The sequence below is a fragment of the Homo sapiens genome, chromosome 1, assembly GCF_000001405.40.
Source record: "Homo sapiens chromosome 1, GRCh38.p14 Primary Assembly".
In the NCBI taxonomy this organism is placed as follows: Eukaryota; Metazoa; Chordata; class Mammalia; order Primates; family Hominidae; genus Homo; species Homo sapiens.
In genome coordinates, this window is record NC_000001.11 from 90,501,667 (window position 1) to 90,514,576 (window position 12,910).

The 12,910-nt window shown below is 38.4% G+C and overlaps 1 long non-coding RNA gene across 3 annotated transcripts in view, besides 1 other annotated feature; it reads right to left on the bottom strand.

Annotated features, from left to right (window-relative positions):
* Positions 487 to 988: an enhancer, noted in NCBI's record as "NANOG hESC enhancer chr1:90967710-90968211 (GRCh37/hg19 assembly coordinates)". NCBI's record gives its function as "activates a minimal SCP1, AML or CMV promoter by ChIP-STARR-seq in naive H9 embryonic stem cells {active_cell/tissue: H9 hESC(naive)}" and the evidence as "EXISTENCE:reporter gene assay evidence [ECO:0000049][PMID:30033119]".
* Positions 10,321 to 12,910, bottom strand: part of LINC02787 (long intergenic non-protein coding RNA 2787) — a 35,944-nt gene continuing 33,354 nt past the window's right edge. For 2 of the 3 annotated variants that reach the window (XR_947593.1, XR_947592.1), the window contains one exon: positions 12,150 to 12,343. This is a non-coding gene — a long non-coding RNA (long intergenic non-protein coding RNA 2787). Of the gene's footprint in view, positions 10,343 to 12,149; positions 12,344 to 12,910 lie in introns of those variants that run through there. The other variant, XR_001737796.1, reaches the window with a different exon arrangement.

Below are 12,910 nucleotides of genomic sequence, written 5' to 3' on the forward strand. Positions count from 1 at the left end.
AAAAGTGGGGAGGGAAATGTGGACTAAATAGAATCAAACAGTATTTTTCTCCATGAGTCAGCTTTGATTTGGTATTGAATAATACTGAGTTTGAAACCACATTGTCATTAAAAATGTATATACGAGAGGCAGATTTATCTAGAAAACCCCACACAGGATGGGTCTTCATTTTTCTGAATTTAATGCAACTTATATTCAATTGTCTCTCTCTGGTGGGGCAGAAACCAATCCACCATTTCATTAGAGCTCCTCTGTAGGGTCAAGATTTAAAGAAAATGCAGGGTCAAGATTAAAAAAAAATTCAACCGTAGAGGGGCATGACTGTAGGATAATAGCGTAGGCTGAAATGACACCGTTTTCATTCAAAACTACTTTTGAGACTCTTACAACTTGCTGGGAAAGTTATTATTTTAAGGAAAATTGTGCGCAAAATTTGATTCCAAGACTAAAATATTAGAAAAGGTTGCACAAGCACAAATTCTGCTGGATTTGAGTATTGGGATAGAAGGAAGCAGTGGCGAAGGCGACAGTCGGGGCCTGAATAGGAGGCTTTTGCATCCAAATACTATAGCAAAGCAAACAGCACAGGCTCAAACAGGGCCCAAATCTCAGACATGGCATTTTCTGCAGTTTGTGGTCCTCAGAACGTTTTAGCACATTGTAAACGATGTTGATCTGGAAGCAGCAAAACGACCAGGGTTAGGTTGAAAGTGCTGTGGGTTCCAAGTGACTGAGCACTGCAGGGGGCGTCTGAATGGAATAAGTGCTAGGACATCTACTACCTTGACAGAGGAGTAGGAGTATGAGAGCGGAGGTGGACAGCAATCTGACGCTAGACACCATTTCTTGAACTTTACCCTTCCAAAGTTTCTAACTACTCTCATCACCTTCAATGTACTGCAATTTGGGGACTTGAAGATGTCTGATGCTCTAAATAAATAAATAAAATGTTAAACTATTCTGCAACATTTACCCAAAGTGAAATGAATCTTTCCCACAAATCACCTCAGTTTTTTATTTATCCATTTAGAATACTGAAATACTGTTTTTTTCTTCTAACATTCAGAGCTTCCTGCAATGGAAAAATGGCTTAGTAGACAGAGCCTTGGACTAAAGGTTTGGAAGTTGAGTCCTATTCACACACAGCTACTGACCCCTTGTGTGATCTTATACAAGTCACTTAACCTCTCTGCCCTTCTGCTTCCTCATTCATTCCACAGAGACAATGCTACCTGCCCCTCCCTACCTCTGTGGAGCTGTGAGAGTGAATGAGCTGTGTCTGCAAAGCATTTGAAAATGCCATTGGTTAGCGCTAGGCTCAAATGGTGTAAAATGTTGTAAAAGACCTGCAGTGAGATAACACACACAATGAAAATAAGGATAGATTATAAGACAGGGAAACATGGAGGTCAGGAGCATTTGCCACTAAAAATTTAGTCAACATGAGCTTTGAAAGTGATTCTCAGTGACAGGTTATTTACTTTATTTGCTCTTTATGAATCACCGGGCTGATCTAATTAATTTAAGTGAGGGTTTGGGCAGGAGGAGTGAAGTTTAAAAGGGGATAAATAAAATTGTGATATCCTGTGAATCTCAGATTGTTGCTTATTAACTCCCAATTAGGAATAATTCATTCAAGGTTATCTACTATTTTCATTCTCAGAAATGTTTTCTCCTTTTTTTCACATTCCAATTAAAGTCTCACCCACCTGCCCTTTCAAGGAATCTATAACAATCTCAGCCTATACACACGCACACACACACACACACATTTATATATATCACACATTTCCTAGAACAACACTGGACACAGGGAAAAAGTTTAATAAGCAGTTATGACAATGTGGTAAAAAGAACTTTGCATAAAAAGTCAGTTCCTTGAACACACCAACTATTTTCTGCCTCAGGACCTTTGCAGATGCTGTTCCTTATGCCCAGCACTGGCTCTGTCCCCACCCTACCCTCACCCCATCCCACCTCCTCCGTTTCAATAGCTGTCTGTTTCTAGTCTTCTGGTCTCATCGTGAATACAACCTAGTCACTGAGACCTACTCTGACCACCCAATATAAAGCAGCCCCTCAGCTCCACTGTTCTCTCACACATGCTATTCTTCCTTTTTATTAGCAATCATTACAGTTCTTAATTTTGTATTTATTTTATTATTTCATTATTATCTCTTCACTACTACAGCATACGCACCTTTCTCCTTTAATACTAGAGGCTTGCTTTGCTCACCACTTTTCAGTAAGTATTTGTTGAACTAATTAATTAATGATGTCACCTAATGCGTAAGACACCAATACACCAATATTGCCCAGCACTTTTTTGGCTGCCCTCATTGTTCTCCCTGAGGTAAAAAGGGTCTTTTCTTTTTTTAACCAATGTTGCAACTCTTTTATCAAGATCCGCCAAAAGGGGCCCAATATGTTTGATATTTTACAGTACTTTCTATGTTGACTTATTTTTTAATCAAACATACTCAGTTTCTTATCTCCCCTTCTCTCAAATTTGGGGCAAAGGCCTACAGGCTGGAGGGAAAACAATGAAGTAATGCATATATTGTGTCCAGAGGATCCCACCCCATAGAAATGCAACCAGTGTTCTAGGACAGAGCCCAGGCACTTCATTGTCCTGAGTCTGTTTGTCCCTTAACCACCAAGACCTTCCTGAGAAACTGAAAGTGGTCTTTCCTCCCAGCCCCTTGTTTCCCATGCCTTGGTATGAGGGACAAATTGATAGTTCCACTCTAACTTTTTCTTGACTTTTTGGAGATCTATTAGGTTTTCAATAAATGGCACCCTCTTCACCTCAGATTCCCCAAGATAAGCATGAGATTAGTATCTGTTCTGGGACCCTTGATATTTGGTAATAAAGTAACACATCCACCTCACAAGGTTTAATAACCAAATGAAATAATAGCATTCTGTAAACTGGTAAGTGCTACACAAATGTTACCTTTTATTACTATGACACAATACCACAAGCATGGTAGAAACATTAGACATGCATGGCTTACGACTGCTGTGGGCTGGCAAACATAAACAAGATTTATAAAAAGATAAGGAGATGGGATCAGACAGGGTATTTAGTGCTGTAAGTAACAGAAAACTTAGCTAAAGGATGTGTAAACATAACATAAAGTCCTGAGGTAGGGGGAGGCTCCAAGGTTGATTAATTTGTGGCTAAATTATACCATCAAGGACCCATGTTTTTCTTTCTGCTCTGCCATCCTTGGCATGTGGGCAAGCAATCCTCAAGACCACGTTTGCAGGTATTACATCTTCACACAGAATATCCAGAATTCCTCAACAGATTTTCTTTCATATTCCATTGTCTAGAACTAGATTAAATAGGCAGCCCTAAACAAATCACTTGCTTGGAAGTAGATTTATCATGGCTAGCCTGGACCAATCAAGATAAATCCCACTGCAACTGGAGGTGAAAGCCACTTCAGCCAGGGCACAGAGAAAGTGGACACCTACACGAAAAGTGAAAAAGTGCATTTTGAGTAGTCAGCCTGCTGAACTTTTATCTAGTTTCCAAATTTTCCACATTGAATTTATTTGACAGTCACAAAGAAGTTACTTTTTTAAAAAAAGTTCAAACACATAAATGCATAAGTGACTACAACTGGAAAAATGTGCAAATAAATATTTCTATCTTTCTTCAGTCTCACCATCATCCTTAGTCTACCCTGGTTAGCTGGCCACACTCACATTCAAAGAGCTTTAGCAGCATTTAACCTCTACATAGCTATTGCTTTTTTGTATGTAGTGCCATATACAATACCAGCTTAAGAAAACACAGGGCCTGGAATTTAACCAGAATCCATATTTCCAAATTTGATGGAGAAGACTGTGGACTCCTTGTTGCATCTTTCTTATGGTACACATCACACTTTTCTTTGAATTATATAGCTACTAGATTATAGCAACTCTTAAGTCAGAGTCTACAATTTAGTCATCTTTGTATTTGCTGAGGCATTTAGCACAATGCCTTGGACATAATATCTCATAATTTTCTCAACAAATATCTCTTTAAGTGAAAGTAATCCACCAATTAATAAATTAATGTATTAATAAATCAACTGATTTTTTGATTGTACACATGCCCTAGGAAAAGTGCTAGGCCATGTTTTAATACATACACACACAAGGAAGGTAAAGTGTCCCTGCTTTCAAGAAACTTTCAACCTCACGGTGAAGGAAAAGCTATCGCACATAAGCCAAATAAGTGCTACACTGTGTCATATTGCTATAACTAAAATAGAAATTCAGAGAAGAGAAAGACAAGCACAGACCATGCTGCAAAGCAATTCCAGCAAAGCATCTGCTCTCTAACCACAGACCATGACCTCATAGGCTACCCACCAGGCTTCTCCCATCCAATCTGACATGTTCTGCTCCAGTTCAATCCACTTAGTCAACCAATCTATTGAGCCCATATACTTAATTGTTCCCATACAAGAAAACCTGTAATTGTCTACTAAAATTTTAAAAATAAGCAAAACATATGCCTATATCTATACTTATTTAAGTCTACTGAGTCTAGGGGTGGTTCTTGAGAGAAGACTGGATACATTCCAGGTTATTCCAAAAGTTCAAATCTACTGTTACCTAGACAAATCTCCTCCCTTTAATTTGAGAATTTCTCCTTATCTCATCCTTTCATTGATCTAGCTAACCACTCATAAATTCCATAAATAGGAGATTTCAGTTTAGAAAGAGAAACAAAATATGTGTATCCATAATCAAAATAAAGAAGGAAGGTGTTAATTGCCTTAGGAGAGGGCAGATGAAGTGCTATGAAATCGCTTCTAGGCAGAAGAGGTCAACAAGTGCTCCATCAACAAGAAAGAAATGAGCTGGCCCTTCAAGGTAGATGGGAATGAGACATATAGACATGATGGGGAAACAGCATTATCAAAGCCATAGAGAAGATTTTTTAAATTATATATATATATATATACACATACATATACAAAAGCATACACACAGAAGAGTTAGGATAGCTTAATCTGATGGGAGGACAGGATGCTGGAGTTAAAGATATAAATGTAAACTTGAAACATAGTATAGAGGGAATTGGATCTAATTGTGGGGATAGGAGAGAGCCAGTGAAAGTTTCTGAGAAGGGGAAGTGCCTTGCTATCACCCAGACATCAGCTACTTTTGTTGAGTAAGAGGACTGCCTACTAACTAAGTCTCTTAGTTAACAGTTTTATTAATTCTGACTATTCAGAATAGGTATATCCACTAAGTACACCTACAAGGGATACCTTCCATTTTTATTTCCAACATCTACCTTTCCCTTAGAAAAGAGTTTTATTGCTTGTGCTATGGTAGTCCTGGAATGTTCCCACTCTGTCTTGGCTGTGTCATGCCATCAACCTAAAAATAGATGTTAATTAACAAGGTTATTTCTAACTTGCATTGTTAAAAGAGAGAAAAACAGTGATGAAACACAGAAAGAGTATCAAATTAACCAAGGCTGGAACCAAATTCTAATTCAAAATTCCCACCTCAAAGATATTCAATTCACTAAATAGTCTCTTTTTTTCTGAATCAGATAGTCATTATCCAAATTTCCTATCCCCAATGTGATAATATAGTGTGATGAGACATGCCCCAACAGAACATAAATTGACTTTTGGAGCATAGATGCTACATAGAGTGTGTGGGTGGTAACGCAAATATCTCACTCTATTATCTGTTGTCTCTGAACCAACAGATTACATGGTTCACTGAGTAGCTGAATAACTTTTAGACAGTTTGCTCATGTCTATTTACACATATTCCACAGAAATATATTAACGACTAAGAAACCATTGTAAAAACTATATGGCGAGATGGATAGACGAGAACATCAATCACTCCGTGTACATTTCTGTAGAGAAGACAAAAGTTTTACATGGCAAAGGTAATGGGGAAAAACATACATATGCATATTTGTATGTTGTGGCCACTACAAGGTGTAAATTCCATACAGTAATAGAGGCAGTCCAAGAAAACATGTCACATAATCTTCTAGAGACTTTCATCTATCTGGGATATGTGTTATATATTTTTACAGTGACGGGTTTAAGATTTATGTTTGTGCTCTAAAATAATTTACTGGGCAAATGTATTTTTAATAAGAAAGGCATGATTCATGTTCATTTAATAATCATAGAAATAATAGAAGTTTTCTGATTTACACTTTTTAAATATTTGATTTGATTTGATTTGAAGTTCTTGGGTACATGTGCAGGATGTGCAGGTTTGTTACATAGGTAAACATGTGCCATGGTGGTTTGCTGCACCTATCAACCCATCACCTAGGTATTAAGCCTCAGATGCATTAGCTATTTATCCTGATGCTCTCCCTCCCTCACTCCCCAACAGGCCCCAGTGTGTGTTGTTCCCTTCCCTGGGTCCATGTGTTCTCATTGTTCAGCTCCACTTATAAATGAGAACATGTGGTGTTTCATTTGATTTACACTTTTTTTGAGACAGAGTCTTTATATGTTGCCCAGGCTGGTCTGGAACTTTTGGGTTCAAGCAATCCTTATACCTCAGGCTCCTGAGTCGCTGGAACTACAGGCATGTGCCATAGCACCCAGCTACACTTTTTCTGTACTGGGGTGCACTGAGTAACGTAAGGGACTGCACTGTGATGCAGTAAGTAAGAGGGAACTGTACTGTGATACAGTAGGTAAGATAGGGGATGGCACTATGATGCAGGAGGTAAGATTAGGGAATTGCACTATGATACAGTAGGTAAGATAGGGGACTGCGCTATGAGGCAGCAGGTAAGGGGGACTACATTGTGATGCAGAAGGTAAGATAAAGGACTACACTCTAATACAGTGGATAAGATAGGGGACTGCACTGTGATGTACTGAGAAAGACAGAAGACTGCACTGTGATGCAGAGGGTAAGGTAGTGGACTGCACTGTGATGCACTGGGGTAAGATAGGGGACTGCATTGTGATACAGTGGGTAACATAGGAGACTGCACTGTGATGCAGGGGGTAAGATAAAGGATTGTATAGTGTTGCAGAGGGTAAGGTAGGGGACTGCACTGTGATGCAGTGGGGAAGATAGGGGACTGCACTGTGATGCAGGGAGTAAGATAGGGGACTGCACTTTAATACAGTGGGTAAGCTAAGGTACTGTCATTTGCCATAGTAAGACAGAGTACTATCCTATGATATAACAAGTATGACTGGGTATGTTTAACTGTGCTAAAGCAGGTAAGGCAGAGAACTACATTGTGTATAATCGGTAAGAAGGGTGCTATACTATTTACTCTGTTCCTCAGACATAATCAGTCTCTATACCTTTGTTCCTTCTGTTATCTCAGCCATAACACCTTATCTTTGCCAAGGTATAGCACACAATTCACTTCCTCTACTTTGTTTTCTAGTTTGTATTAAACAGATTTGTTACATATATTTTCTTCCTCCTCTGTCACACTATAAATTTCTTTAGGGATATTTTAAATACTAGATTTTATTCATCTTTGTACTCCCACATTGCCTAATACACTGCTGGGCAGAGAAATGACCCTCTTAGATGAGGTGACCTAAAGTCATCACTGAAATGAACTAAGTCCTGAATAACTGTGCTCTGGAAAGCAAAAGACGGTAAATAGAATGTAGAAAACCTAGGACCCAAGAAGAGAAACCTGGAGACCTAGCTGTATTACTAAAAGTGCCCAAGGCTAAAAGTTTACATATTAAACTAGCCTCAACCTTCCAGAGTCCAGGTCAAATTACATCAGCCTCTCCTGTTGATTTTCAGATTCTATACTCAATGTATCTTCAACCATTTCTAAAGTTCAAATGTTATCTTTGTGCCTAGAAACATGTCCTCAGAACCACAAATGAGAACATTTCTAAGGACTTAATGAAATTCTACTGAAATTGTGGTTGAATGAATTACATTTCTGTATCACTAAACCAACCAACAAACAACGAAAGTCACAAGATTATCATTGTAAGGTTAACTCCTAGAAAGTTCAAAACCAGATCATTCAACTCATCTGTGTCTCCCACTGAGGTTTCTTTGTCATTTGAATCAGACTTTCTTAGGCTTACTCAGACTCTTAAAAACACAATTGCAATCTACCCTCTTGGAGACACTTCACTTAAATTCATGGACTGAGGTGTCTGAACTATTGTTTAAATGTCATAAGTCAATTTGGGGAAAAGAGGAAGTAGGATAACTTTAACAACCTGTAGAAGTTCCACTTTTCCCATTAAGGTCAACTAAATTAAACTGAACAATTAAAGGAAAGATGGCTTTTCTTCTTTTTATTTATTTATTTGTTTATTTTTTACTAGTCAGCTCTCTCCTCATACCACCCATAATTTAGATCATTTAGGGTATAATCAATAAAAAGCACCATTGTTTACAGCTCAATTGCCTTAAGTTGTTCTTTGTTCAAAAGGACATAAGTTACTAGCAGGCAGAAATGGATGATTCTAACTTGGACAAATATTTGATATGTCCAAATTAAAATCTCCCCTGATATGGTTTGGCTGTGCCCCCACCCAAATCTCATTTTGAATTGTGACTGTCATAATCCCTACATGTCATGGTAAGGGCCCAGTGGAAGGTAATTGAATCATGGGGGCAGGTTTTTCCCACGCTGTTCTCATGACAGTGAATGAGTCTCATGAGATCTGATGGTTTTATAAAGGGGAGTTTCCCTGCACATGCTGACTTAACTGCCACCAAAGTCGTGTCTTGCTCTTCCTTTGCCTTCTGCCATGATTGTGAGGCCTTCCCAGCCATGCTGAACTGTAAGTCAATTAAACCTGTTTCCTTTATAAATCACTCAGTCTCTGGTATGTCTTTATTAGCAGCCTGAGAACGGATTAATATACACCCCAACTTCATGCCTACTTCCTTTAATACCCAGTAACCTGGCATTTATAGCTACTTTTATATTTGGGCTGAATACCAGTAAAATTTTTCTTCCTGTAAACAGAAATCATAAGAAGAACATTTCTTGGATTCCAATTGAAAATTAACATGATTCCAAACTTTATTTCAACACAATTAAATATTGCTATCTGCTGCTGGTGTCCTCACTTAAAGCCAAGTGTAAAAAGCAAAGTTCCAAGACTAATTACCTTTCCCTTTTGCTGCTCTGCTGCCAGAGCTGCAGTCGCTGAGAATAATCTTCAGAAGCTTGGCTTTATTTCTAGAGCAATGAATCCAATTTTAAGCATTTTTCGATATCTCTTTTTGGAGCCTTCCAAATAACAATAAGATATATCTCATCTAGTCCACTCTAGCAAGCACGAAGCTCATTTTTTACAATTCTGATCTAGATGTAAGAAAATTAAGAACTTAGTCAAATAGGACCCTGAAGCAACACTCACTCTGTGTAAAAACGGCATGGCATGTGCAACCTTCAGGCCAGTATCCGTTTCCACAGGGTGAGTGGTCACAATAAAATAGAAAAGAGTGACTAGAAAATTCCTGCTTCTTCCAGCTCAGACCCTCCAGCTAGCTCAAGATTTAAATGTACCACTGACCAATTTTACAATGTCCTATATTTCTGTTTACTTGTGCTGATCAGAAAATAAGCAGATTTGGGGCCGGGTGTGGTGGCTCACGCCTATAATCTCAGCACTTTGGGAGGCCAAGGTGGGCGGATCATGAAGTCAGGAGATCGAAACCATCCTGGCTAACACGGTGAAACCCCATCTCTACTAAAAATACAAAAAATCAGCCGGGCATGGTGGCAGGTGCCTGTAGTCCCAGCTACTCGGGAGGCTGAGACAGAAGAATGGCATGAACCTGGGAAGCAGAGCTTGCAGTGAGCCAAGATTGCGCCACGGCACTCCAGCCTGGGCGACAGAGTGAGACTCTGTCTCAAAAAAAAAAAAATAAAATAAAATAAAATAAAAGATAAGCAGATTTGGAATCTCTCCTTGAATGTTAAGAAACTAGAACATTTCAATCCAAATGTCCTACCGAATTACTAATATCAAGCTCACTGCTACCATCCACTAGTTTTTAGTTTATTTTGATTAAAAATGTTCTGTATACATTTTTATATACATTATAAATTTATACATTTGTATATATGTATACATATATTTATGTATACATAATGTAATATATACATTACAATACAATTCTGTATTGTAATAAGAAGCTTGACATATTTTTCAGAAATAGGAATTCTAAATATTAACAAATACATCAGACATAAAACAGACAGCCCCTACATAATTTACAATTTCAGTAACAGTAACCACCTTGTTTTGAAATTATCTACTTTCTACAAAGAGAACAAACAATGTCCAGAAGAACAGTTACCTGTGTACAGCTGTAGCCTCCACTGAAAAAGGGCAAAAGAGAGGAGGGTTTTTGGTTAATTGGTCAGCAAAGGTATTTATCAGTTTGTACCTATACAGTGTACAACACATAAGAATAAAACACATTTCTGCTTCAAATGACTAACAACAATCTAATTATTTGGAGTGAAGGCACTGAATAAAGTAGAGAAAAAAATTGTGTATTGGGCTTTGGAAAAACTGAGGAAAACAGGTTTATATTATCAGTAGTCCATTATAAAGATAAGGAAATATATTATAAGACGTGAACTAACTTGCATGGCTACCACTTGAACACACCCTAAAGCAAATGCAATTGTTCTTACTAAACCATTTTTCCAAGGCTAGGGTACACATTTACCAACTTTTGATCCATAGAATGTGAGTGAGATAAAGTATTCTGAGATTATTAACAATACATTACGATTACTAGAAAACTATTAGTTTTAAATGTTCATTGAGTAAGCTTCCATTTACTTAAAACCCAATGAGTGAATTAAAAATTCCCTTCCAGGAGGCTCTTGAATGATGTGTTTCAATGATTTTTTCCTTTAAGGACATTCTGTGTTTTTGAGATGCAAATTGCAGCTGCCCTCAGTGACTGACATGTGATTGTAAATGTACTATGAATCACTAAAGACAATATACACCTATTTTTTAGTGGTAGGTTTTAAATGCATAGCTCTCAAATAGTTCTCACTACGATGAGTCAGTTTTTCTGAATATAAAATTTGGCCTCTGACACTTTACCTCTTTTTACCTTCTGTGAACGTTTGCTCACTTGTTTCCCTCGCCTGAGACTGTTTTACTTTAAAATCAAATGGAAAATCTGTATTAAATGCTAAACTTAATTTAATAAATATATCATAAAATTCCAACTTTTTGCAAATTTATTCCTAAGAAACCATCTCACAATGATCTTTCCCCTTAGAGATCATTTTGTATGTAGTAAGATTTGTTCTGTTTTGTCATTTAGGAGTTTTACCTAAGGATATGTCTTGTTTCTCTAACTAAATGCCATGCTTCTAAAGCAAAGGGATCCTTTTTATTTCATTTATATCTGAATTGCCTATGATATGTTTGGCAACAGATTAGGTATGTTATAAATGTTATTTGAGAAGATAAAATCAAAGATGAAAGTCGTTGTGAGATGTGACATCTATAGTTAAATTTTATATTTGTGGGTTTTTTTAAATCTTGATATTTTCAGATAAGACTTTTACATAATTAAGCAGGTAAAGCAGTCATTCATTAAATATTTATTAAACATCTACTATGGGTCTAACACCATGCTAGGTGCTACAAATAATATAAAATTATAAATAATGGACTTTGCCTGCGCCCACCCGGAACCAGCAGTTCTCCAAGCACCCAGCATCCAGCAAGATGCACTGTGCACCAACGGAGTCATGTTCTTCTCTTACTTTAAAGTCTTCAGGGCACTGCCTTGCCCACAGGACCGATATGGTTTGAATCTGTGTCCCCACCCAAATCTCATGTGGAATTGTAATCTCCAGTGTTGGAGGTGGGGCCTGGTAGAAGGTGATTTGATCACGGGGCAGATTTCTCACAAATGGCTTAGCACCATCCCCTTGGTACTATCCTCACGATAGTGAGTGAGTCTTGGGAGATGTGGATGTTTAACGTGTAGCACCTCCTCCTCCTCTTTTGCTCCTGCTCTGGCCACGTGACATGCCTGTGCCCCCTTCGCCTTCCGCCATGATTGTTAAGTTTCCTGAGGCCTCCCCAGAAGCCAAGCAGACAACAGCATCATGCTTCCTGTACAGCATGCAGGATCATGAGCCAATTAAATCTCTTTTCTTTATAAATGACCCAGTCTCAGGTATTTCTTTATAGCAGTGTGAGAATAGACTAATACAAAGACCATCTGTAATCCAGTCCCAGTTGTTACATCTTCTACTACTCATCCTATACTCCATCTTTAGTCCAGGCACAAGAAACTTGCTGGTGTACTTACTTCTTAATCATTTATTAGTTCATCCATTCTGTCAAGAAAAAAAAAAACCCTTATCAGGCAATTGCGCAAAACCTTTTGCTAGGTGATAAGAATATAGATGAGCTTGTAATCTAGTGACAGACACATTGCATTGGGCAAACAGTGACTGCGTAGCAGCAATGACTACTCAGCTAGGTTGGCTTGCTCATTTTCCTAGATTTCTGTGGTAAGGTGGCAACAAGCTTAGAGATTCAGACACTGTGCTACTTAGCCAGACAGCCAAAGCACTATCAGCATGGTGTCAGCGCCCCCTCCCCTAACCCCGAAAGCAGCTGACCCACGGGACAGCACTAAGCTGGTGAGCCAGGAAGCAGATGGCATGAGTGGTGTGTTACTCTGTCATGAAGGAGCCAACTCTAACATACAGGCAAGTAGTTTAGTAGACACACACAGAAGCCTGCAGCTGTCCTCTAAAGGGAGGTGGCAAGAAATGAAGCAGAAAGTCCTGCTCTCAGTCACAACCAGGGAGATGAATGAGGAAGCCCCTCATAGCAACCTCCCACGAGATATGATAAACTGTCTCGTGGTGGCTTCTTTCCAGGTTCATCTCCCATTA